A 22,528-nucleotide genomic window follows, 5' to 3' on the forward strand; every position below is an offset into this window, starting at 1 on the left:
CACAGCAACTCATCCATTCCTTTTTTGCAACACGTTTATTGAGAGGCAGTTGTGCTCCAGCCTTCCAGGAGGTCACAGTCTTAGGGGAAGCAGTGCAATGGAGGTTGGAAGCAGGGGAACCCTTTACTGAAGGCTGAGCGCTGGCTGGCACACTAGGCCTGGCAGCACTGGAGGGCAGGCAGGGAAAGTAGGGTGGGTAACCCAGCCTGGCAAATGCACGGCAGCTAGAAAACCTCTTCAGGTTCTGGGGTGGCTGGGCCATGAGAGGGGAGGCCAGGCAGGGCTGTCAAGGTAACCGGGGTCAGATCATGGAGTTGCCTGCCAGGCTCCACAGGAGTGGGGGACAGAAGCAGAGCAACCCAGCTACCAGCCGGGCCCTGAGCTCCCTCAGGGTGACCAGGGAGGAGCTGTGACTGGCTGGGGAGGCAGGGCTGGGGCCGAGGTTCCCCAGGACGACAGGAGGGAGCCAAGGCACTCTAAGAGGTGGAAGAAGAGGACCAGAAGCTGGTGAGTGCATCACTGGAGCCCATAGGAGGGCTCCTGACTGTCCTCAAAAGCCTCAGACCTCAGTGTCCACTTTCTCCATCCAAGAAATGGGGCTGTGATCTCTGCTTATGACAGCACAAGCTTGCACAGAAGTGGAGGCGGGAAATAAGCACAAGTGTGCCTTCCCAGCCCGGCCTGGGTCCAGGCAGAACAGCTGATACTGGCCCCAGTCTGCCCACCCACCCCTGCTGGCCAGGAGGCTGGCAGAACCCCAGCCCCACCTGCCTGGAGCGCGTTTGATTTGGACTCGACTGTTGTGGTGATGGAGGGGGGCTGGATCTGTAGCTAAAAATACCTCGGAGCCAAGCCAGCTGCTCAGAGCTTCCTCGGAGGCTGGGCCGCGCTGGGCCCACTGAGGAACTGGGCATGCCCACCCAGGAGGTAGCTCCCTTACCTGCTAGAGGTTGAGGGCCTGAGTCACTCCCCCTTCCAGTCACCAGGAATTCCTGGAGAGTTTGAGAAAGCAAGAAAGATTCTTTAAGCTGGTTCCTGACACAACAGCTGTTAGGCCACTGAAGCCTGGGGGAGCGGCCGGGTGGCATTTGTGGGGTCAGCTCATCGGTGTCCACACAGGGGCCTATGCCATAGTGCGGCCAACAGGGAAACTGAGCCCTGGAGAGTTGCAGGGGCCCAGCCACTGCTGTGTTGTCAGAGCAAAGTCCAGCCAGCCCCAGTGAGGCTGGAGGCAACGCTGTGGCACCCACTTCCCTGGATGCCTGAGAACCCTGCAGAGGGGCCACCCACATGAGGCAGAAGACACTCAGCCTTCAGGGATGAAGCTACTCCCTGAGGTCCCAGGGACGGGAGCTGGCCTGGCAAATACATCTACCCTGCCTGAGCAGTCCCCAGGCCTTGGCTGCCCATGAGCACTCGGGGACAGGCCAGAGACAAGGCCACTCCTTGAGTGCTAAAAGTTCCCGTCACAAAAGCCAGACTCAGCAACAGCTCAAAACATTATTGTCCGGCCAGGCGCGGTGGCTCATGCCTGTAATCCCAGCACTTTGGGAGGCCGAGGTGGGCGGATCACCTGAGGTCAGTTTGAGACCAGCCTGACCAACATGGAGAAACCCTGTCTCTACTAAAAATACAAAATTATCCGGGCGTGGTGGCACATGCCTGTAATCCCAGCTACTCGGAGGCTGAGGCAGGAGAATCGCTTGAACCCTGGAGGCGGAGGTTGCGGTGAGCCCAGATCACACCATTGCCTGGGCAACAAGAGCGAAACTCTGTCTCAAAAAAAAAAAAAAAAAAATTATTGCTGGACCTGCTCCTCCCAGCGCTCAGGGGCAGGAGCTTGCTGGAAGTCACATGCCAGCTACAGATGCACTGGGCCAGACGACCTGAGATGGTGGTGCCACCTCACTGCACAGCCCAGGCAGAGGCTGTGTCTCCACCCAGAGGGTCCGAAAGGTCATGTTCCACGCTAGGGCTCCGGGCGGAGAGGCCGGAAGAGGCGGGGATGCCGGCGACTCAGTAGTAAGGCAAGTCCTGCCACCTCCTGGCCGGCCCTTCCGCTGGCGTGGCCCTCTCTCTGCAAGCCCTGGGGCCCAGCGCCAGCAGCGGCCCCGCCCCGCGTTCGCTGGGTGACCGGTGGGCGGGGCGCCCTCGAGGGACCAGCAGGAACAGCAGCAGGAGGACAAACTGCCTCACCCTCCCTGCCCCAAGAGGTGATGGTGGGGGGACAAAGAAAGAAGAGGGACCAAAGCAGAGAGAGAGGGGTACAGTCCAGCCAGGTGGGTCCCGACACCGTGCCGAGAACCACATCCAGACCACAGCTGAGCACCCAACAGCTCACTGATTGGATCCAGGGAGGGGAGAAACTGGCTGGAGCCCTCCAGGGTGCAGCTGGGAGGGAGACGTACATCAATTACTTAATTATCCAAAGCAGGTGGGGAGTAAAGACCCCACCCGGAGAGCAACGAAGACTCTAAAGGGAGGCGCCACACCCTCGGGCGGCAGAGGGTAACGTGAGAGCAACGGGGTTCAATGGCAGAGCCAAATTTAAAACAGGTTTCAGGGAGTATAGAAGGAGGAGGCTTTTGGGATATTAACAATGTGAACCTCAATTTTTATCAGGTGCTTTCGCCCTCTTGCTGTACTTGGGCAGCGGGGAGTCTGGGCAGGAACACTCTTCCCTCCCAGCAAAGGAGCTGGACCCAGCACGGCTCATCGGGGATTGAAGACCCAGCCCTGGCCCTCACAGGAGGAGCCAACAGCACCACGCCAGTTACTTCCAACCAGACAGTCCCGGGCAGGGATGCCAGCAGACAGCTGGCACGGGAGGAAGCCCAAAATAACCCAGACAGCTGGGGTGAGGGGGTGCCATGGGCACAGGCGCTGGCTGCCAAGTCAAGCCACCTGGAACCCCATCCTGGCTCTATTGGTGGTGGCCTTGTGACCTTGGGGAGTCACTTCTCCCCGGACCATGGGTGGGTGACCCAAATCTTGACCCCATCATGGAACAGCCCCTGTGGATGGGGAAAGGCCTGCAGCTGGACTCAACCACTCCAGAGGAGAACCGCGTTGGCCGCCTTCCCAGGGAGCGCCAGATTCCCCTTTGCCCTGAGGCAGGGACACGTGCTTCAGCAGGTGGGCTGGTGCGGGGGGAAGCTCTGAGGCAGCCCAGCCCCCACCCCCTGCAGCCACTCCCAGCAATAACCACGATCACAATGGAGGCCAACTAAAAGCTTGGGAGGAGGGCCTCTTTAACGCACTTAATCCTCCCACCACCCTTTCCAGCAGGCATCCTTATCACTTTACAGGGAGACACTCACCCAAGGTCACCAGCACTGAGAGATCCTAGCCCATGGCGAACTATCTCCCTTAACTTAGCACCAAGATACCTTTAGCAAGATCTCCTTGTTAATCCGAACAGGCCCCCAGAGCTCGGTGTAGCCCTCACAGCGGGAGTGGGGCACAAGTCCCAAATAGGGGAGGTGGTGTGATCAGGAGCACCTGGACCCAAATGGTTCATCAAAGCAATCACAAAGCAGAAATCACAAGGAGGGGGGCTCCGAGACCAAGGGCCGCCATCTCCAGCTGTGGAGCTTCTTAGACACTGAGATGGGAAACTATTCAATACATGAAGTCGGCTAGCGTTAGAATGAAATCAATTACTATGTGCCAAGCGTGGAACGTGGCACTTCTGCGTCAAAACCCCAGGTGTTACCAGGCTAGGGGCTGGAGTCTCAAAATGTGTTCCCAGACCACAGCATCAGCCTCACCTCACCTGGGAACTTGTTAGAAATGCCAGTCCTAAGGACCAACCCACTGAATCAGACACTTGGGCACCAGGCCCGGTGGTCCATTTTCAGTGAGCCCCCCTTCCGGTGTGATTCTGATGCCGGTTCCAGACTAAGAACCACTGATCTAGCCCTGTTTTCGGAGATGGAGAAATAGGCTTGGAGGCTATACCGCTTACGCAAGGCCATAGCTGTTCAATGGCTCGCCAGGTTTCAAATCCAGCTTTGTCTGGTTCTAGAAACAAGGCTTATATACAGGCCTGCCCATTCGGGGACTGGAGAAGAAAACAATCCCAGGAAGGTGGAGAAGCGTCAAGGAAGGCCCTTTCATAGAGAAAGGTGGCCGGAACCTCGGGTCTCTGTTCTTTGCCTCTCTAGCAGCCAGACATCAGAGGACGGCTCACACTGTCACCCCACATGCCCCACGGGGGCGGCTGGAGGGAAGGCCACAGCACAGTTGGGCTTTCTGACAGTGACCTGTGTCTTTCAGAAGTAGGCGGCACCCAGGGCCCTCCCCCCGCCGAAGAACACACAACTGGGAAATACTTGCAAGTGGATCCTCTCGTATGCTGCTATATTCGGCAGAGACTTACACGCCCCAAATGCCTGACAACAGAAGCTGACAGACGGGGATGGATGGCCCCGGCGGCCCAGCAGGCGGCCCTACGCGCTCGCAGCTGGGGGGGGGGGGGTGGGGTGGGGCGGGGCCGCAGAACCAGCCCGGCGTGTTTGGGGTTCGGCCCTCCCTGGGCTGCAGGCCAGAGCCCCCCAAATCTCCCTCACGGTCTGGGCAAGTACTCACACCTACCTTAGTGGGAGGACTGTCAGAGTCAAACTAGGCCTGCCCCTGCCGTTGACAGAAGGAAAGATTGTCCATTCGGGGGGTGCCCGAACGTCGCCCCTTCTCCGGCCCAGAACCTGGAGGAGAGGAAGGTGGAGGGCGGATCAGGGCGTTGGGGGAGAGAGATGTGACCGGCCGAATACACAGCAGACGGGCTCCGGGGCTGAAAGGGAGCACCCCAGACGCCGCCCCTCCCCCAGCGGCCCGGGCGGCCGGGGGTGGCTGAGTCAGAAGGTTCAACCCCGGCCCGGGCGGCGGCTCATCTGCATTTCCAAAGGCCCGCCCCGCCCGCACCCTCCCCGGGAAGGGCCGGAGATCTGAGGCTTCGCCGGGAGCCCCGCGCCTCGGGGGATCCCGGGGCCCCCCCTCCGCTTTCCCAGGCTTCCCCCACCTCCTGCCTGGAGAGCTGGGCTGGAGGGCTGCCCAACGGGGCGTCTGCGGCCACCCCGAGGGCCTCCCGCCCTGAGTGAGGACAAAGGGGGCGACCCCCCGCCCCGCGCTGACTCGGCTCTCAGAGGGCGACTGGGAGGTCGGACCTGGGCGCCCAGAGCTGGGTGGGCAGCGGGGGGCGGCCTGGGGTCAGGGCCAGGCCGGTCCGCGGCTTCCGGAGGAGCCGGTGGGACCCGGGGCGGCCTCGAAGCCCCGCCGACCCCGTGGCCCTCGGCTGCGGGCGCCCGCGCAGGACAAAGACGAAAGAGGGAAGCGGTCCGGGGCGAGGCCTCCTGGTGCCCGCGTGGGCCGCCGGGTCGCCCAGCCCCCTACCCCTGCCGCTCCTCCCGCCCGGCGCGCGGCGGCCGCCACCGCCCCAGCCACGGGCAGCGCGCGAAATGGCGCCCATCAGGCCGCCGCGCCCGGCTGAGGCGAGCGCGGGAGGCGCGGCGCGCGACGCCCCCGAGGCCCACGGCCCCCGAAACGGCCCCCGACACCCGGTCGCCAGCGCTGCGCCCCGCGGGCTCTCGGGGCCCGACCTGGCCGCGGGCCCGCCTCCTGCTCCGGGCTCCCCACGACCGGGGGGACGGAGGAAAGGAGGAAGGAAGGAAAGAGAGCCGCCGCCATTAGCAAAGCAGCCCTGCCCGGCTGGGCCCGCCTGCCAGACCAGCCCGGCCCAGCCGCGACGGGCTCGAAGCCTGTAAAGAAAACTGGTGTTTGGGAGGAGGAGCGAGCGCGGCCGGGAGGACAGCAGCTCCGGGCTGCGGGCGGAGATGCTGCGTCATGGTGCCAACATGGACGCCGGCCTTTTGTCCTCCTTCGCGTTGCCAGCGCAGGCGCGCCCCGGAGCCCCGAGAAGCCGGCTTCGGGGTGCGGAATCCTCACGATCGAAAGGAAAGTGGGCCCAAGGCTGGGCGATGAGGCTCCCTAGTGTTTTAAGCCCCCCCGTCTCCAAAGCACTTCAATTTCTTCTCCCCATCCAGGTTCAGACCTGGGAAGAGCGAGGGGGCGAAGGCAGGCGGCTCCATGGACCCCCGAGGGTCGCTGCGAAGCCCGTCTTCTCGCCCTTGGGGCAGAAGAGGCACAGGGGTCCGAAGAGCCCTTCGTGTCCCAACCCCCCGCCCACTGCCCGCTCCGGCTGCCAAATACAATGCTCCAGAATCCTCCTTCTCCTCTCAGCTCCCAAACACTTGCAGCCCTTGCTTGGCCTGCAAAAGGGTTTCCTCGAAGGGGCAAAAGGCACTTTTTATCTTTCTTACTTACCCGCTCAGCCCGGTGCCATGGAGTCTAGAAGATCAAGCTGGGCGGTGGTTTTGGAGACGTTATTGTAAAAACATATATATTTTTTGATTTAGTTGGGAAATTTGGGGGTTATGGTGGTGTCTTTGTTCTTATTACCTTTTTGTAAGTTACACCCTCACGTTCTGCTCCTTCCACTTCTGCAAACTTTCCAGGGTTGGGTAGGCAAAAAGGCGGCTTCGCTGAGGACTGTTTACTGCTCTGGATATAGCAATGGTGTGATCGTCATTAAGAGACAAAAGGCGAAAATACAGTCAAATCAAACAAAAGGCACAAGACGCACCAGCCGCCCAACCACCATAGAAAATACCCCCCACTTAACGTTGGTGTTTGCTGGAACCAGCTAGGACTTGTTTTCCAGTTTTAATCTAGTTTCCTGTGACGGCTTTAGTCTCTCTACACAAAGAAAAGGTCTTCCTTTCCCTCACCCACCAGCTCCCCCCAACCCCCAACACCAAAGACGAGAAAAACAGGGCTGTTTTTCTTCAAATAGATCGATTTTCAAAGAAAGTGTACAAGCTACGGGGAAGAAAGCTGACTAGCATTTAGTGCTGTAAACATTTTCAAAAGCATAAAGCTAGAACCTTAGCTTTATAAAGCAAGATCGTCTCAAGCATCTTAACTGGCTTATATTAGACAAGAGAGACAAAGACATACATGCAGATGAAGGTTCGGAAAATTAAGGACATCTCAGCAACATTAACATCAAAACTGTACTGCGTCAGGACAGAATGGATTGGGTACTTACAATGTAAAAGGTTTTTTAAAAACTAAAAGAGTAACAACTGCTCACAATTTTTTGTTGCTGCCATTTCGCTAGTCCTAAAGCTATATACATTTAAAACATTACCTTGTTAAAAAGAGAGAAGGAGTTAATAAGATGGCCAGGTTTAAGTGTTTAATAGAGGAAACTAGATATATTTAAAAATTTATTGTTCAGTCAAGAGAATACAGATTAAGACAGCTCCAAGCTCCCCCCACCCACCCATAGAACAAAAAGAGGAAAAAAAATATGTCATTTACTTAGGTTTTTTTGGAATTCAAAACTGTTAACTGCTGACATGAATGGTGTGCTATGACCTAGTTATACAAGACAAAGATGGATTCCAAGTCATAAGGAAAAATCCAGATCTTTTTAAAAAGTCTTCTCCAGTCTTCCAACTGTGAGTCCTTGGGCCTGTTGACAAATGTTAAACACACTGAGACGTCCTGAACTGGATGGTAGAGTCAAAGGAAAAACATTCCCCATTTGCAACAAAGGAAAAACCCACTTGGCCATTTAATTCCATTGCAGAAAAATGGCTTCCCTCATCTGTTGGCCTCTCCTTCGTGTCTGATGAAGGATGTTTTGAGATCAGCGTCTAATAACTCAAGCCCTATAGAAGCCGCGCGCTGATTGGCTGCCGCGCCCTGCCGCCCTGCTCCAGCCAATTACCTACCCACGGCCAAATTACAAACCCCGAAAAGAGCCCCAATATGAGCTACACCAGCTCCGAGCCCCGGCGAGGCGGCTCCTGCGCCTCGGCCGCCAGAGAGGAGCGGCAGAGGGGGCTGCAAACGCGTCCTCGCGAAGCCCGGGAGCCTCGGAGTTGAACTCACAAAATGGAAGCCGCGCGCTGATTGGCCGCCGCCACTCCCGGACCTTTAATAAAGAAAGGGGAAGGAAAAGATAAATGCAAAAAAGGGGGACTCTCTCCTCCGCGGGTGGCTGGAGGAAGGGGGGGAAGCATGTGTTCAGGACAATTACAGGGCGCTCCCCTCCAAAAATAAAAACAGAAGAAGGCGTCTATCGCCCAGGTCCAGGCGAGGGCTGCATCCTCCCAGGAATGCGAATGCTAACGTGGTGAACCCTGGTCTCCCTTCCCCAGCTCAGCTCCGGGGAGGGGGTCGCGGGCCGCAGGAGGAAGCCGGAGCGCAGATACCTCGATTGCAACTCCTCTGAGTCGACGCCGGCCTCCCCCCGCGGCTCCCAGCGTCCACACACACCCTCGGCCCCCCAGACCCCAGCCATCTCCCCGGGCCCCGCGCGCCCGCCTCCGGCCCGGGCAGTTTGGAAACAGTTTTGCAGGCCCGGGACGCACGCCGCGGCGGTCGCGGCTCTGAGGGTAGTCCCGGCCGCGGGAGGTAGAGCCCGGGGAGACCCCCTCCCCCGCCAGCCAAGACCCCCACCCCAGTCCCAGAAAAATAAATAAATTAAAAGGCCTTCCCCCGGGGAGGGGGAGGCAGTGTGGGAGCGCGCGAGTGAGGGGTGGGGGGCCGCTGGGGCCCGGGGCTTTGGCGGCGCAGCTGCCGCCGCCGGGAGAGTGCCTGGGGAAGCGGCGAGGAAGGAGAGGGGAGGAGGAAGAGGAGGAGGAGGAGGAAGAGGAGGAGGGTGAGCGCTCGGGTCGGGCTCCTTAGCGGTGTATTGTGGGATGTGCGGCTACTGGGAGCCGAGCCTCCGCCGCCAGCCGCCTCCCGGGCAGCAGCAGCAGCAGCGGCGGCGGCAGCGGCAGCAGCTCCGGGCCCGGCAGCCGCGGCGGCGGCGCCCCCCCTTCCTGGCCCCCGGTCCGGCCGCCCCGGCCTCGGCTCCCTCGGGGGACACCATGTACTGGCTGGCGGCGCAGGGAGGCCGGCGCCCGGCGGGGATGTAAGCGCGGCTCGGGGAGGGAGAGGCCGCGGCCGGCAGCCGGGCGGCCCAAGCCCCCGGCCCCGGCCCTGGCCCGAGCGGGCGAGCGGGCGGGCGGGCGGCGGCGCCGCCAGGCCCTGCCGCCAGCCTCGCGCCAGAGCCGGGCCGAGCTAGCGGGTGAGCGCCACGCCGGGCGGCCGGGCGGGCACCATGGGCCGGAGTCCGCGTCCTCCGGGCGCCCCGGGCCCCGCCAGCCCGCCCAGGGGACCCCCGGGAGCCCCTCGCTGCCGCCCCGAGACGGTGGCCGAGCGGGCGGGCGCGTAATTCTCCCGGAAGGGTTATTCTCTCGCTCCATTCTTGTTTTGGGGGGAGCCAGCGAGACAGCTCCTTTCGGGGCGCGCTGGCAAGGTGGGAGGGGGTGGGGGCCTGCCGATTGGATTCTTTCGCGTGTGTGTAGAAGCGGCCGCCGCCGCCGCCGCGGCGGAGACGACAACAACTTGCTGGTTTTCAGGTTGGGTTAACGGCATGGAGAACAGTCACCCCCCCCACCACCACCACCAGCAGCCCCCGCCGCAGCCCGGCCCTTCGGGCGAGAGGAGGAACCACCATTGGAGAAGTTACAAGTTGATGATTGACCCGGCTCTGAAAAAGGGGCATCATAAACTGTACCGCTACGATGGGCAGCATTTCAGCCTGGCGGTGAGTAGCCGGCGCGCCCCCCCAGCCGTGCCCCGCGTCGTGTCCGGGGAGACGCGCCTAGCGGCCAGGGACCCCCCGCCCGATCCCCCGGCCAACTGTCAGACGGGGCCCCAGCCCTGGAGTTTGACAAGTGCCTCGAGAAAGGGGTCTGCCCATGGGGAGGGGGACCAGTTCTCTCATCCCGGCCCCCCAATTTCTCCCCACAGATGTCCAGCAACCGCCCGGTGGAAATTGTCGAAGATCCCCGGGTCGTCGGGATCTGGACCAAAAACAAGGAGCTGGAGCTGTCGGTGCCCAAATTCAAGGTAGGACCCCTCCCCACTGCCCCGCCGTCCCTCCCCCACCTCCCCGAGTTCGAAAATAACGCCAGTCCTGACCGAGCCCAGCCGGATTCCCAGTTCCCGCCGTCCGGGGCCAGGGAAGTTTTGGCGGGGAGGGGTAGAGCGCTGGCGAGAGGGTGTCCCCTCTCAGCTACTGAAAACAAAATAACACTGGGTGAAACTGTAATCACGGCGCAGATACAGTGTCCTGCACGCCCCGCGGGGGGCTCGGCTCCGAGACTCTCCCCTCTCGCTAGCCCACTACAGGACAACTTCTTAAGCCTGAGGGGTCGCCCCTGACCCGGCAGCAGGAAGAGAAGGCCAGAAAGGGGGGTGGGGAAAGAGAAACTGTTTCTTTTTCCCCTTTCCTTCCGAACCCAGAGGACTTCCACGTTCCAAACGATTTAATCCTCCGCTTCCCGGGCCCGCCCGCGTGCATTTTTTTTTTCCAAAAAAAATTTTTTTTTTTTTTTTAATTTTTAGTTTTTTTACCCTTTATTGTTTTCAACGGGTGGGCGAGTTGCGGGCGGGGCGGGGGGGATGTTGTGTTTTCCCTTAGGTTTAAACGTTCTTCAAACTCCCTTCCCCCTCGGCCCCTGCCAGATCGATGAGTTCTACGTGGGCCCGGTGCCTCCGAAGCAGGTGACATTTGCCAAGCTGAATGATAACATCCGTGAAAACTTCCTGAGGGACATGTGCAAGAAGTATGGGGAGGTGGAGGAGGTGGAGATTTTGTACAACCCCAAGACCAAGAAGCACCTGGGCATCGCCAAGGTGGTCTTTGCCACGGTCCGGGGAGCCAAGGATGCCGTTCAGCACTTGCACAGCACTTCCGTCATGGGCAACATTATCCACGTGGAGCTGGACACCAAAGGTGAGCCTGGCAGGGGAGGAGCGTGGGGAGACCTGTCAGCCCGACCCTTTCCCTCCCCACCCTTCCTGCAGCGTGGGGAGGACCCCCCCTCACTCTTCCTTGGGATCCCCCCCCACAACCTTATTTCTTAGCCCCCTCCTGAGGGTAGAGTCGCGTGGAGCTAAATGTGTTGTCTGTTGCTAGGAGACAGTCTGTAATTTACCAAATGTGCCGGTCCTTGGCCACCGCACCCCTAGGGACCACCCGGAGGCTTCCCCACCGCTGACACCCCCGCGGGCCCCCTCTCTGAGCCCTGGTGGCTTGGGTTTAGACAGTCCCCAGTGTTGCCTGTGTTAGGGGAGGAGACAGAGTTTGTTTACTTGTGGGGGACTGAGGAAGTGCCACTAGGATGCCTTGAAATACATCAAGAGAAGGTCTGAAAACTGAAAAGAGAGTCCTCTAAGGATCCAGGGTGTCCCCCCACCTCCTTGCTGCCCCTTCCCCTCTGGAAGTGGCAGCCAATCTGGGGCCAGGAGTGTTGTTTCATTGATAAGGTTCTCGACAGAGCCGCCGGGGAAGAGCAGAGCCGGGAAGAGGGAAGAGCCAGGCAGGCGGCTCTGGGTGCTCAAGGGTTGACACTGTGTCTTCCCTCCTCTCTCTTAAAGAGACCGCAGCACCTCCCCTGCTCTGGAATCAGCTAGGTGCTCTCTGGAGCTGGCTGGGGAGGCCATACCTCCCACCCTGTGGGTCTTCGGAGGCCCCTGCAGGACCAAGGGGCTTGGAGGACTCGAGGGCATTCCCCAAAGTGTGCCTGAGGCCTCTTTAGGGAAGCTCCCACCTATAAAAGAAGGTGCCGAGTGCTTTGAGGGCCAGCCAGCTTGTGGGGAGATGTCATTCGGTCCCTAGCCCACCGGGGTCCCCTGGGAAACCCTGCCTGGGAGGGCAAAAGTGCAGCTTCCAGGAATTTTGTGAGCATGGCGTTCAGGGACAACTGGGACACACCAAACCCAAGGCAGGAAAATCAGAACTTTTCTTTTTTTGCGTTTAATGATTAAAATGTATTGACCGAGCTCTAAGCCGGTGCCGGGGGGTGGTGGCAGTTATTCCACGCACACTTGCCGAGCCTGTGCCCGGTTCTGTTCCTCCTCTCAGGGCACAGCCCTCTTTTTCTGTCCAGTCCACAGTCCCTCCCACCCCTTTCCCTAGCTTCTCAGTCTCTGGGGGTTGGGGGGGCAGTGAGGACCTTGGGTGGCTGCAGCACGATTTCTCCCTGATAATTGAATTGAACATGGTAACCCCTTTCCTATCACGTGCCCACATTTTAAGGAGCAGCCAGGTCTCAACAAAATTTCAATTCTGTAAAAAAAAAAAAAAAAAGAAAAGAAAAGAAAAGAAAAAAAACACAAAAGCCCTCAGAGACTGCCAACTAAGTTTGTATTTCAAGAAAGAGACCAGTAAAGTGTAGCTCCAGGAACGTGTCTTTTTTGCATATGTAAGCAGCTGCCTCTGAGGCTCTATAAATATCGATAACCCCTGGGCCCTGGTCTATAAAAGCCTCCTTCTGCTGAGGGGTGGAGGGTTCAAGCCCAAGGTAGTCCCCAGGCCACCCTGGGGCCCTCAGCCTGGTCAGGGCCTGTGGAGTTCACAGTAATGTGCTACTAGAGCGTGTTGCAAACTCTGCTGCTCACCTGGCCCCAGATATTTAACAAACTCTGGCTTCTGTGTCACGGGCTTCCCTTCCTCTTACTGCAAGCCCCTGGGTATTGAGCAGAAAGGGGAAGACCTGGCTCTGTGGGTGCCATGGCCCAGGTAATGCAGGGGTGGGGGGGGGCTGGGCGTCGCGGGTGGCACCTCTGGGTTTGGGTTTGGGGGAGTCTCAGCCCCAGGAGACATGAGCTTCTGGATCTCAGGATCAGAAAAATGGTGCAGCTCAGCAGCTTTGTTGAAGAGGTGGGGACCCTGAGCGAGGTGCAGAGGGGTGGGAACTCAGGGCCACACAGCCTCCCTAGGACTGGGGTCTCGGGCACAAGGGACCCACCAGGGTGCCACACAGGTTGGAATCCTTGTGGGGGCTGCCCCATCCTGGAACCTCACTGAGTTCCCCCTTTCCTGCCCATCTACAGGGGAAACCCGAATGCGGTTCTATGAACTGTTGGTCACTGGCCGATACACCCCCCAGACCCTCCCAGTGGGCGAGCTGGACGCTGTCTCTCCAATCGTGAATGAGACCCTGCAGGTGGGTTTATGGCCGTCAGTCTGCCCCATCGCCAGCTCTTTGATGTGCCCCCCACCTCTGGAAAGCCTCACCAACTCTCTTATGGGACCCCCAGCCTACCCCCACCTCACTCCAGCTTTGGAGACCAAGGCCTAGGAGGGTGTGAAGCCTGGCCACGCCCCCCACAATTGGGAGCAGGGCCTAGAGCCCCATTTTCCCAAGTGCTCCTGCAGTAGGGCTCCATGGGATTGGTTCTGTTTCCTGTGGCTTCTCCCCTCCCCAGCACAGGCTGTGATTCCCACAGACCCAGAGCCTGCCCTGGCCCGCTTTTCCACGTTGATGCCAAACATTGCTGTTTCCGGGGTCCTTAGTGTCTGGTGTCCTGGGCATGCCACTACCCCTAAACCCAGAAACCAGAGTTCATGCCCTGCCTTCCAGAGCAAGGCTGACTCCTTCCAAACCACTGCCTTCCAGGACACAGGGACAACTCTCGCGTGGGGCGAGTCTCATGCCAGCTCCTCCCTGGCATCAGGCTGACTAGCTGCCACTGGCCTGTTCATCACTTTTTTTTTGTTTTATTTATTTTTTTGAGACAGAGTCTCAGTCTGTCCCCAGGCTGGAGTGCAGTGGTGCGATCTCAGCTCACTGCAAGCTCCACCTCCTGGGCTCAAGTGATTCTCTTGCCTCAGCCTCCTGAGTAGCTGGGATTACAGGCACACGCCACCACACCTGGCTAATTTTTATATTTTTGGTTAGTAGAGGTGGGGTTTCACCATGTTGTCCAGGCTGGTCTTGAACTCCTGACCTCAAGTGATCCACCTGCCTCGGCTTCCCAAAGTGCTGGGGTTACAGTCATGAGCCACCACGCCTGGCCTCTGTTTATCACTTTAAATCCTAAAGCACTGGGTGACTAGGAGGACAAAGCCCTTGGCCATCCTCTCGTGCACAAGATTGTAGTTCTTGGTCATAATCCTGCCTGGAAGGTCTTTGATTTCTGACAGCCTGAGGCAGAAAGAAAATCCCAGCCTAAACCAAGATGTTACAGTCTTCTTTTTTCTCTGCCTCCTCTGGAATTAGGAATGACCCTCAAGGTTCCCTGAACATATTTGGCTACCCCTAAGATTAGAGAAAAAGTTAGTACCATCCTGACACTCCTCCTCAATCTCCCCCACTTCCATTCCTTATGCTGCAGTTCTAGAGCAGTTTGGCTCTGAGCTTCCCAGCAGCCAGAGTGAGAAGGGAAAATAGCCCTGTTCCATTGCATGTTTTCCCCCAGTGGTCTGACATCTCTGTCTCTCCTTAGCTGTCAGATGCCCTGAAGCGCCTCAAGGATGGAGGCCTGTCTGCAGGCTGTGGCTCCGGCTCCTCCTCTGTCACCCCCAATAGCGGTGGGACACCCTTCTCCCAGGACACAGCTTATTCCAGCTGCCGCCTGGACACACCCAACTCCTATGGACAGGGCACCCCGCTCACACCGCGCCTGGGCACCCCTTTCTCACAGGACTCCAGCTACTCCAGCCGCCAGCCCACACCCTCATACCTCTTCAGCCAGGACCCTGCAGTGACCTTCAAGGCCCGGCGCCACGAGAGCAAGTTCACGGACGCCTACAACCGCCGCCACGAACATCATTATGTACACAATTCTCCCGCGGTCACTGCGGTGGCCGGGGCCACAGCCGCTTTCCGGGGTTCCTCGGACCTCCCGTTCGGAGCAGTCGGCGGCACTGGGGGCAGCAGCGGTCCCCCGTTCAAGGCTCAACCACAGGATTCAGCCACATTTGCCCACACTCCACCACCCGCCCAAGCAACCCCTGCTCCTGGATTCAAGTCTGCTTTCTCTCCGTATCAGACCCCAGTGGCCCACTTCCCTCCACCCCCGGAAGAGCCCACCGCCACAGCCGCTTTTGGGGCCCGCGACAGTGGGGAGTTCCGGAGGGCACCGGCGCCCCCACCCCTGCCACCTGCTGAGCCTCTGGCCAAGGAGAAGCCAGGCACGCCACCCGGCCCGCCGCCCCCCGACACCAACAGCATGGAGCTGGGCGGCCGGCCCACCTTCGGCTGGAGTCCTGAGCCCTGTGACAGCCCTGGCACGCCCACGCTGGAGTCGTCCCCTGCAGGGCCAGAGAAACCCCACGACAGCCTGGACTCGCGCATCGAGATGCTGCTGAAGGAGCAGCGCACCAAGCTGCTCTTCCTGAGGGAGCCGGACTCGGACACCGAGCTGCAGATGGAGGGCAGCCCCATCTCCTCCTCCTCCTCCCAGCTCTCCCCACTGGCCCCCTTTGGCACCAACTCCCAGCCAGGCTTCCGGGGCCCCACGCCCCCCTCGTCACGCCCCTCCAGCACCGGCCTGGAGGATATCAGCCCAACACCCCTCCCAGACTCCGACGAGGACGAGGAGCTCGACCTGGGCCTTGGGCCTCGGCCTCCACCTGAGCCAGGCCCCCCGGACCCTGCTGGGCTTCTGAGCCAGACAGCTGAGGTGGCCTTGGACCTGGTTGGAGACAGAACCCCGACCTCAGAGAAGATGGATGAGGTACCACCGTGTCTGTCCATCTGTCTGGGACTGGTTTTGTCTATCTTGTATCTCCCTTTCCCCCTTCAAGCATTTAGCATGACTAGCTAAGATGCGGAAGCAATGGGGCTAGGAAAGCCAATATAACAGGTGGAACTTACAGAATAAAAAGGGGATGCAGAAAACACCAGGGGCTGTGATTGAGCAATTGGTTTGGCAATGAGCTCCCTAGCAGCCGTGGAGAGAAGGAAAGCATGGCCTAGTTCTGATGCTCTCCTTGTTAGGTAAGAAGTCAGCTTTTCCTAGGGATAAATTCTGGCCTGAGCTGCTTTGGTAGGCGTTTGCTGAGAGTTCAGAGAGTATGAGCTGTGGGGATGGCTCTTGGTCCCCTTGTCTGTTGCGTGGCTTGGGAATGATCAGGGAGAGTCCTGGCCCTCAGGCAGAGGGGAGGAGAGAGATTGGCCAGAATACTGTGCTGGGCTAAGTGGGGTGAAGCCCCGGAGCATTGTCTCCTAGAGCCTGGTGCCCTCTGAAGAGGGGGAAACCATGGCAGACAGGGAGGGTGCTGGTTTCCCTTCTTCTCCCACTGGCTCCAGGGATGAAGGAGTTAAGAGCTAACTTGGGGTGGGGGTGGGGTGCCATGTAGCCAGAAAAAGGCAAAGTTGACCATCCCCCACCCTCTCCTCAGGTCATGGGGTCTCGTTGCCTAAACCTCCAGCCTCAGGAAGTCCCGCCCAGGGGTTGGGGGTGAGGGTGCCACGTGCCAGGTTCCCCTGGGAGGGTGTTGGGTCATCTTCCTTGGCTCCACTCCTCCTTCTCGGTCCAGGCACCTGCCTTGGAGCCGTAGTCCCGGTGGGCATGGGCAGTCAGGGGCTTAGACAGAGCTCTGCGTCCCTGTGGGCGGAGGGGAGGAGGACTGCCCCCTTCTTGGGCCCTTTGATTAGGCGGGTCTGGCTGCATCAGGGAGGAACGAGAGGAACTTGGCTTGCCTGGGAGGGTGCTGCAGGTGGCTGGGGCTCCAGGGGGCCTCCAAGCAGTTCTGGGGAAGTGGTTTCTGGCATCAAGGGGTCCAGGCAGGGGGCCTTGGCAGGGGGCGTTGACAGGTGTGCAGCTGTAGGGGGGCCGCCGGCCCTGGCACCCGTCTCCTCCGCTCCGTCTAGGCTGCCTGGGGTGAGGAGTGTTTACCATGCTGACCACGGTCCAGGGCTGAGAGGCCCGCAGTGGCTGGAGCGAAAGGCAGGCTGAGGCCCCGGGAGCGAGGGTCTGGGACTGCCCGGCCGCCAGCGCAGGGAGTCGCCGAGTGCCGGGAAGCTCCGGGCCGGCCCGCGGGCGCCCCCTGCTGGCGCCGGGGAATAGCGCCTGGGCTTTCTGCGGCCGCGCGCAGTGCGGGGAGCTGGACCCCGTCCCATCCTAGGTGGGGGAGCGGCGCAGGCGGGGCCAGCCGAGGGTGCAGGGGGGGCTTTTCTTCTAAACAGTGGCTGGTCGTTAAAAGTTCAGGCTCAAGTTCTTGAGTCCTGCCAAGTCACTTACTGGTTATGTGACCCTGGAAAAGGCACTTTTGCCTTTCTGAGTCTCAGTTTCGTCATCTGCCAAATGGGCCTGTGAGAGTCCCTGCAGCACAGGACCTCAGCTTAAGTGAGGTGCCGCACAGGATGCTCCCGGCACCGCCAGGCCTGCTGGACTCCCAGTTCTCAGCAAATTCCTGCCGCTTCTCACCCCGAGACTGCTGGGCAGAGGGAGGGGCAGGGCCGGCCGGGGCTGGAGCGCAGGATCTGCCTCCCTGTGATTGGCTGGCGGCGGCGGCCCGGGTTAACCCTCTGTGTGCCGCGGCGCGCTGTGCTCGGCTCTGTCCAGGACTGATCTGGGGAGTGCTCTCTGAGGATCCACCCGAGCCCGTCTGTCTCTTCTTGATGTGCATGGGGATCCTGAGAAGGAGAGTGTGTGCGTGCGTGCGTGTGTGTGTGTGTATGTGTGCACAGAGGGGACCTGGTAAAGTCCAGAGCTTCCTGCCGCTGCCTTAGTTTGGGTAGTCTCCGTCCTCCTACCCCGCTACCTGCAGTTTTCCTCTGAGGCCTTCCTCACCTGTAGTCTGACCTCTGATCTTGCAACTTGCACAGACTCCACCTCCACCCCCACTCCCCCTCAGCCTTCAAAGGTCCCCCCACCCCAAGTCCAGACCTGTCCACTCGGCTCCCTAAAGCCCCACGCCCATCCTTGACACCTCCCACATTTACCCCTCACCACCGCCCTGGATCCCAGCTGCAGCCCCGCACTGGGCAGGTCCTGGGCTCCAGACCTTCTTCTGACTGGCTGTGCCGCGGGGCCACGGCTGAGGCTCTGAGTGTGTTTATTAACTGTCAAATGGGTCGGAGCAGAGCCCCCCGCCCTGTGAGGTTATCTTTCGGATAAAAAATGAGGCAGCCGTCTGCAGCGCTTAGCCCCACGCGGGCCCACACTGATTGTGCAGTCACGAGACTAGGTGAAAAGAGTAATCAAGGAAAAATAAATAACAACACACTTCCTGTTTATGGGCCTTAGTGCTGCTAAACCCCCGCTCCAATGTCACCTTTCCTGCCTGGCCGTCTGCCGCAGAGTGAGGACAGCAGGGTGACTGAGAGCACAGGCTGCAGAACCACTTCCTGGTTCAAATCCCGGCTCCATCTCTTCTTGGCTGTGTGGCCTTGGGCAGGTTACTTAAATTCTCTGTGCCCCAGTTTCCTCGTGGGGCAAAAATGGAGTTGAAAATAGGGCTGTTCTGAGGATTAGCTGAGTTAATAAATGTGGAGCGTTTAGAAAGGCCCTGGCACATAAGAGACACTATGGAAGTGGCAACTATTTCTGCACACAAGTTGCAACAGAATCTCTGAAATTGCAACAGTTTCATCCTCTGTGCCCCACCCGTCTCCCTGCCTTCTTTCTCTCCCTCACGTTTCCCGTATTCACCCTCATCATCCTTTTGCCTTTTCCTGCTGGCTCCGCTCCACAAGAGTAAGATGTTTGCCTGCCTCTTCAACTTTGTGTCCCCAGCACCTAGACCAGTGCCTGGCACACAGGTACTGAGCAAATGTTTGTTGAATTGGAATGAATGAATGAATTCTAGTGGTAACTCCATGAGGCAGGGACTATGATGCCCATTTTGCAAATGAAGACGCTGAGGCTTGGAGAGGCTGAATGGCTTGCACTGGGTCACACAGCTGGGAGTGCCACTGATTGCTAGTCTTGCAGAGGGGACTCCGAGAGCCCCTTGGCCTTCCAGACTCACCTCACTGTCTCTCCCTGCTCTCTCTGCAGGGCCAGCAGTCCTCAGGCGAGGACATGGAGATCTCGGATGACGAGATGCCCTCGGCCCCCATCACCAGCGCTGACTGCCCCAAGCCCATGGTGGTGACCCCAGGAGCGGCAGCCGTGGCAGCCCCTTCTGTGCTAGCCCCAACCCTGCCGCTGCCCCCGCCACCTGGCTTCCCCCCGCTGCCCCCCCCACCACCACCACCCCCACCGCAGCCTGGCTTCCCCATGCCCCCACCGCTGCCCCCACCGCCGCCCCCACCCCCTCCAGCCCACCCTGCTGTGACAGTGCCCCCACCACCCTTGCCAGCGCCGCCTGGAGTCCCGCCCCCACCCATCCTGCCACCACTGCCCCCCTTTCCGCCGGGCCTGTTCCCTGTGATGCAGGTGGACATGAGCCACGTGCTGGGTGGCCAGTGGGGCGGCATGCCCATGTCCTTCCAGATGCAAACGCAGGTGCTCAGCCGGCTGATGACGGGCCAGGGCGCCTGCCCCTACCCGCCCTTCATGGCCGCTGCGGCCGCCGCTGCCTCAGCTGGGCTCCAGTTTGTCAACCTGCCGCCCTACCGGGGCCCCTTCTCCCTGAGCAACTCCGGCCCAGGCCGCGGGCAGCACTGGCCACCACTGCCCAAGTTTGACCCGTCAGTGCCTCCACCAGGCTACATGCCACGCCAGGAGGACCCACACAAAGCCACGGTGGATGGCGTCCTGCTGGTGGTCCTCAAAGAACTCAAGGCCATCATGAAGCGTGACCTGAACCGCAAGATGGTGGAAGTGGTGGCTTTCCGGGCCTTTGACGAGTGGTGGGACAAGAAGGAGCGGATGGCCAAGGTGGGTGGGTGGGTGCAGGGCTCTGCAGGGTGGCTGTGGAGGGGGGCAGGTCCCCAGCCGGGCACCTCCTCTTTCCCTGAGACTGTTAACTGGAAACGCTGCCGTGGACCCCACTATGGGAGCTCCATTTCATGTGGCCACTTTCAAAGTTCCGCAAACTGTGCTCCACTTCAGCAGCCACTAGATGCACACGGCTCTTTGAATTTAAATGAGTGGCCAGGCATGGTGGCGTACACCTTTAATCCCAGCACTTTGGGAGGCTGAGGTGGGAGGATTGCTTGAGCCTAGGAGTTCAAGATCAGCCTGAGCAGTATAGCAAGAGCCCATCTCTAAAAATAAATGTGCAAATTAACTTAAATGAATTAAAACAGAGTAAAATTAAAACTCCTCCTTTGTACATGCCACATTTCAAGTGCTCGGGAGCCACAGGTGCCTAGTGGTAGTACACAGGATAGCTGGTGCAGACTGCCCCCCCCGCCCATTGCAGACAGCTCACAGCTGCGACTCCCTTTGAACTTGACTCCCCTCACCTCCCCTCATGCCGCCTTTTACACGGAGCCCTGTCTTGGACCACTTTTTTCCTTTTTTTGTTTTTTTGAGACAGGGTCTCGCTGTATCGTCCAGGCTGGAGTGTAGTGGCGCAATCATAGCTCACTGCACCCTCAACCTCCCTGTGCTCAAGGGATCCTCTCACCTCAGCCTCCAAGTAGCTGGGACTACAGGCATGTACCACCACACCCAGCTAATTTGTGTGTTTTTCTGTAAAGACAGAGTTTCACCACGTTGCCCAGGCTGGTCTTGAACTCCTAGGCTCAAGTGATCCTCTGCCTTTTGGGCTGGGATTATATGCGTCAGCCACCGCTCCTGGCCTACTTACTATTTTCTTTTCTTTCTTTTTTTTTTTTTTTTTTTTCGGAGATGGAGTCTCACTCTGTCACCCTGGCTGGAGTGCAATGGCGTGATCTCAGCCCTCTGCAGCCTCCACCTCCTGGGTTCAAGCGATTCTCCTGCCTCAGTGTCCTAAGTAGCTGGGACTATAGGCACCCACTACCATGCCTGGCTGATTTTTGTATTTTTAGTAGAGATGGGGTTTCACCTTGTTGGCCAGGCTGGTCTCGAACTCCTGACCTCAAGTGATCCACCTGCTTCAGCCTACCAAAGTGCTGGGATTACAGATGTGAGCCACTATGCCTGGTCTCTTTTTTCCTTTTTAACATATTATTTGCCTGTTTGCAATCTTACAGGTAATCTAAAATTACTTATTTTCTCCATAAGAGAGAACTTTTTCTTGAATACTTTAAACTCCCCTTAATCCCTCCCCTCCACCCCATTCCCCCCTGCTCCCCTCCCTCGACCGTGGTTATGAGTTTGAGTGTCCCCTGGAGCCTGCTTTGGGAAATGCTTGCTTTCTGCCACAGAGGTAAGCAGCACTTGTCAGAGCCTGTTTGTCATCCGTTTAACTGGGCAGTAAAATTAGAATGAACCGTCTGAAATCACTGATACACAGCTCTTTATGGTTCAGCCAAATTATACTGACCCTACAGTAACAGCTAATAGCTATTCCATTCACAATTTGAATAAAAAGAGCCACCAGGCCTCATGTGCCCTGCACCTTGCAAAGCTCTTCATGTGGCTCGTTTTGTTAATTCTCACAGCATCCCTTTGAAGGCAGAGCATTTCAGAACCACAGGGGCAACCCCTTAGTGAGCAGTGAAATAAAGCCAGTAGGTCCTGTTTTTAATGCATGGGAAGAGAAGAGAAAATGGGATAGTGTAAATCTTACCTTGTGAAGGTGGTGTTGCACAGATGTGTCCCTATGGTGTAGTTTTTGGATTGTCTGCAAAGTGCAAAGGCCACTGTTGTAAGGAAGGCAGGTACAGTAGTCCTATTCTACAGGGGAGGACATTGAGATCTATGAGGCAGAGCGGTGCTCTAGAGCCTCGTGGGTAACGGCATAGTGTGGCCAGGTGTGTAGGGAATGAGGATGCAGTTACCTGTGGTGGCTGTTACTGCCGAGTGGAAGGCAGGTAGCCTGGGGAGGGCTCCCTGCAAGGGTTGGTGGTGCCAGAAGCGGTGACGGTCCCCTCCTGTCTCCACCCCAGGCCTCGCTGACCCCGGTGAAGTCGGGCGAGCACAAGGACGAGGACAGGCCGAAGCCCAAGGACCGCATCGCCTCGTGCCTGCTGGAGTCATGGGGCAAGGGCGAGGGCCTGGGCTACGAGGGCCTGGGCCTGGGCATTGGGCTGCGTGGGGCCATTCGCCTGCCCTCCTTCAAGGTCAAGAGGAAGGAGCCACCAGACACCACCTCATCTGGCGACCAGAAGCGGCTGCGGCCCTCGACCTCTGTGGATGAGGAAGATGAAGGTTCGTGCTCTGGGTGCTGGGGTCCCCTTCTTCCGCATCCCCCCAGCCCAGCTCTGACTCCCTCCCTTCCTGCAGAGTCCGAGCGAGAGCGAGACCGGGATATGGCAGACACCCCCTGTGAGCTCGCCAAGCGGGACCCCAAGGGCGTGGGTGTGCGGCGGCGGCCGGCGCGGCCTCTGGAGCTGGACAGTGGTGGGGAGGAGGACGAGAAGGAGTCATTGTCGGCGTCCTCGTCCTCATCCGCGTCATCATCCTCGGGGTCCTCAACCACCTCACCCTCGTCCTCGGCCTCCGACAAGGAGGAGGAACAGGAGAGCACCGAGGAGGAAGAGGAGGCGGAGGAGGAGGAGGAGGAGGAAGTCCCCAGGAGCCAGCTCTCCTCCTCCTCAACCTCATCCACATCAGATAAGGTGCCTAGCAGGCCAGGAAGCCTCAGGGGGCCGGGCCAGGCGACGAGGGCCAGACCCTTCGGCTCACCTGTCCC

At 59.1% G+C, this 22,528-nt stretch overlaps 1 protein-coding gene and 1 long non-coding RNA gene across 11 annotated transcripts in view, besides 22 other annotated features; one reads left to right on the forward strand and one right to left on the reverse strand.

Moving 5' to 3' along the window:
- The window catches only part of SETD1B (SET domain containing 1B, histone lysine methyltransferase), a 42,502-nt gene that overhangs the window by 5,096 nt on the left and 14,878 nt on the right, over positions 1-22,528 (forward strand). Inside the window, exons 1-9 of one of the 4 annotated variants that reach the window (XM_024448898.2) lie at positions 7,841-8,728; positions 9,474-9,661; positions 9,868-9,966; positions 10,585-10,855; positions 12,958-13,070; positions 14,353-15,585; positions 18,856-19,680; positions 21,783-22,044; positions 22,120-22,454. In XM_024448898.2, coding sequence (XP_024304666.1) covers positions 9,488-9,661; positions 9,868-9,966; positions 10,585-10,855; positions 12,958-13,070; positions 14,353-15,585; positions 18,856-19,680; positions 21,783-22,044; positions 22,120-22,454 — 3,312 coding nt within the window. In that variant the 5' untranslated portion in view covers positions 7,841-8,728; positions 9,474-9,487. Of the gene's footprint in view, positions 1-7,840; positions 8,729-8,758; positions 8,984-9,123; positions 9,140-9,473; positions 9,662-9,867; positions 9,967-10,584; positions 10,856-12,957; positions 13,071-14,352; positions 15,586-18,855; positions 19,681-21,782; positions 22,045-22,119; positions 22,455-22,528 lie in introns of those variants that run through there. The other 3 variants (NM_001353345.2, XM_047428552.1, XM_047428553.1) reach the window with 3 other exon arrangements.
- Positions 17-7,696, reverse strand: LINC01089 (long intergenic non-protein coding RNA 1089). Of its 7 annotated transcripts, NR_002809.3 has the most exons (7): positions 7,629-7,696; positions 7,381-7,534; positions 6,457-6,558; positions 6,322-6,358; positions 4,597-4,706; positions 941-992; positions 17-476 (listed from the first exon to the last, which is right to left on the reverse strand). It is a non-coding gene; the product is annotated as a long intergenic non-protein coding RNA 1089 (long non-coding RNA). The 7 variants fall into 7 exon arrangements; NR_152736.1 differs by lacking the exon at positions 6,322-6,358; NR_152737.1 differs by lacking the exons at positions 6,322-6,358; positions 7,381-7,534.
- Positions 263-432: an enhancer, noted in NCBI's record as "active region_7187". NCBI's record gives its function as "activates an Ori minimal core promoter by ATAC-STARR-seq in GM12878 lymphoblastoid cells {active_cell/tissue: GM12878}" and the evidence as "EXISTENCE:reporter gene assay evidence [ECO:0000049][PMID:35858748]".
- Positions 2,669-3,210: an enhancer, noted in NCBI's record as "H3K27ac-H3K4me1 hESC enhancer chr12:122235825-122236366 (GRCh37/hg19 assembly coordinates)". NCBI's record gives its function as "activates a minimal SCP1, AML or CMV promoter by ChIP-STARR-seq in primed H9 embryonic stem cells {active_cell/tissue: H9 hESC(primed)}" and the evidence as "EXISTENCE:reporter gene assay evidence [ECO:0000049][PMID:30033119]".
- Positions 3,211-3,750: an enhancer, noted in NCBI's record as "H3K27ac-H3K4me1 hESC enhancer chr12:122236367-122236906 (GRCh37/hg19 assembly coordinates)". NCBI's record gives its function as "activates a minimal SCP1, AML or CMV promoter by ChIP-STARR-seq in primed H9 embryonic stem cells {active_cell/tissue: H9 hESC(primed)}" and the evidence as "EXISTENCE:reporter gene assay evidence [ECO:0000049][PMID:30033119]".
- Positions 3,751-4,290: an enhancer, noted in NCBI's record as "H3K27ac hESC enhancer chr12:122236907-122237446 (GRCh37/hg19 assembly coordinates)". NCBI's record gives its function as "activates a minimal SCP1, AML or CMV promoter by ChIP-STARR-seq in naive H9 embryonic stem cells {active_cell/tissue: H9 hESC(naive)}" and the evidence as "EXISTENCE:reporter gene assay evidence [ECO:0000049][PMID:30033119]".
- Positions 4,291-4,830: an enhancer, noted in NCBI's record as "H3K27ac hESC enhancer chr12:122237447-122237986 (GRCh37/hg19 assembly coordinates)". NCBI's record gives its function as "activates a minimal SCP1, AML or CMV promoter by ChIP-STARR-seq in naive H9 embryonic stem cells {active_cell/tissue: H9 hESC(naive)}" and the evidence as "EXISTENCE:reporter gene assay evidence [ECO:0000049][PMID:30033119]".
- Positions 4,291-5,120: a biological region, named in NCBI's record as "H3K27ac hESC enhancer GRCh37_chr12:122237447-122237986".
- Positions 4,621-4,670: a silencer, noted in NCBI's record as "silent region_4990". NCBI's record gives its function as "represses an Ori minimal core promoter by ATAC-STARR-seq in GM12878 lymphoblastoid cells {active_cell/tissue: GM12878}" and the evidence as "EXISTENCE:reporter gene assay evidence [ECO:0000049][PMID:35858748]".
- Positions 4,701-5,120: a silencer, noted in NCBI's record as "silent region_4991". NCBI's record gives its function as "represses an Ori minimal core promoter by ATAC-STARR-seq in GM12878 lymphoblastoid cells {active_cell/tissue: GM12878}" and the evidence as "EXISTENCE:reporter gene assay evidence [ECO:0000049][PMID:35858748]".
- Positions 5,191-5,530: a silencer, noted in NCBI's record as "silent region_4992". NCBI's record gives its function as "represses an Ori minimal core promoter by ATAC-STARR-seq in GM12878 lymphoblastoid cells {active_cell/tissue: GM12878}" and the evidence as "EXISTENCE:reporter gene assay evidence [ECO:0000049][PMID:35858748]".
- Positions 5,541-5,610: a silencer, noted in NCBI's record as "silent region_4993". NCBI's record gives its function as "represses an Ori minimal core promoter by ATAC-STARR-seq in GM12878 lymphoblastoid cells {active_cell/tissue: GM12878}" and the evidence as "EXISTENCE:reporter gene assay evidence [ECO:0000049][PMID:35858748]".
- Positions 5,721-5,840: an enhancer, noted in NCBI's record as "active region_7188". NCBI's record gives its function as "activates an Ori minimal core promoter by ATAC-STARR-seq in GM12878 lymphoblastoid cells {active_cell/tissue: GM12878}" and the evidence as "EXISTENCE:reporter gene assay evidence [ECO:0000049][PMID:35858748]".
- Positions 5,901-6,000: an enhancer, noted in NCBI's record as "active region_7189". NCBI's record gives its function as "activates an Ori minimal core promoter by ATAC-STARR-seq in GM12878 lymphoblastoid cells {active_cell/tissue: GM12878}" and the evidence as "EXISTENCE:reporter gene assay evidence [ECO:0000049][PMID:35858748]".
- Positions 6,021-6,080: an enhancer, noted in NCBI's record as "active region_7190". NCBI's record gives its function as "activates an Ori minimal core promoter by ATAC-STARR-seq in GM12878 lymphoblastoid cells {active_cell/tissue: GM12878}" and the evidence as "EXISTENCE:reporter gene assay evidence [ECO:0000049][PMID:35858748]".
- Positions 8,304-8,553: a silencer, noted in NCBI's record as "silent region_4994". NCBI's record gives its function as "represses an Ori minimal core promoter by ATAC-STARR-seq in GM12878 lymphoblastoid cells {active_cell/tissue: GM12878}" and the evidence as "EXISTENCE:reporter gene assay evidence [ECO:0000049][PMID:35858748]".
- Positions 8,824-8,953: a silencer, noted in NCBI's record as "silent region_4995". NCBI's record gives its function as "represses an Ori minimal core promoter by ATAC-STARR-seq in GM12878 lymphoblastoid cells {active_cell/tissue: GM12878}" and the evidence as "EXISTENCE:reporter gene assay evidence [ECO:0000049][PMID:35858748]".
- Positions 8,994-9,053: a silencer, noted in NCBI's record as "silent region_4996". NCBI's record gives its function as "represses an Ori minimal core promoter by ATAC-STARR-seq in GM12878 lymphoblastoid cells {active_cell/tissue: GM12878}" and the evidence as "EXISTENCE:reporter gene assay evidence [ECO:0000049][PMID:35858748]".
- Positions 10,128-10,217: a silencer, noted in NCBI's record as "silent region_4997". NCBI's record gives its function as "represses an Ori minimal core promoter by ATAC-STARR-seq in GM12878 lymphoblastoid cells {active_cell/tissue: GM12878}" and the evidence as "EXISTENCE:reporter gene assay evidence [ECO:0000049][PMID:35858748]".
- Positions 15,081-15,890: an enhancer, noted in NCBI's record as "H3K27ac-H3K4me1 hESC enhancer chr12:122248237-122249046 (GRCh37/hg19 assembly coordinates)". NCBI's record gives its function as "activates a minimal SCP1, AML or CMV promoter by ChIP-STARR-seq in primed H9 embryonic stem cells {active_cell/tissue: H9 hESC(primed)}" and the evidence as "EXISTENCE:reporter gene assay evidence [ECO:0000049][PMID:30033119]".
- Positions 15,935-16,547: an enhancer, noted in NCBI's record as "H3K4me1 hESC enhancer chr12:122249091-122249703 (GRCh37/hg19 assembly coordinates)". NCBI's record gives its function as "activates a minimal SCP1, AML or CMV promoter by ChIP-STARR-seq in primed H9 embryonic stem cells {active_cell/tissue: H9 hESC(primed)}" and the evidence as "EXISTENCE:reporter gene assay evidence [ECO:0000049][PMID:30033119]".
- Positions 16,782-17,101: a silencer, noted in NCBI's record as "silent region_4998". NCBI's record gives its function as "represses an Ori minimal core promoter by ATAC-STARR-seq in GM12878 lymphoblastoid cells {active_cell/tissue: GM12878}" and the evidence as "EXISTENCE:reporter gene assay evidence [ECO:0000049][PMID:35858748]".
- Positions 17,242-17,331: a silencer, noted in NCBI's record as "silent region_4999". NCBI's record gives its function as "represses an Ori minimal core promoter by ATAC-STARR-seq in GM12878 lymphoblastoid cells {active_cell/tissue: GM12878}" and the evidence as "EXISTENCE:reporter gene assay evidence [ECO:0000049][PMID:35858748]".
- Positions 18,850-19,356: an enhancer, noted in NCBI's record as "H3K27ac-H3K4me1 hESC enhancer chr12:122252006-122252512 (GRCh37/hg19 assembly coordinates)". NCBI's record gives its function as "activates a minimal SCP1, AML or CMV promoter by ChIP-STARR-seq in naive H9 embryonic stem cells {active_cell/tissue: H9 hESC(naive)}" and the evidence as "EXISTENCE:reporter gene assay evidence [ECO:0000049][PMID:30033119]".

This window comes from Homo sapiens, chromosome 12 (genome assembly GCF_000001405.40).
Source record: "Homo sapiens chromosome 12, GRCh38.p14 Primary Assembly".
NCBI classification, from domain to species: domain Eukaryota; kingdom Metazoa; phylum Chordata; class Mammalia; order Primates; family Hominidae; genus Homo; species Homo sapiens.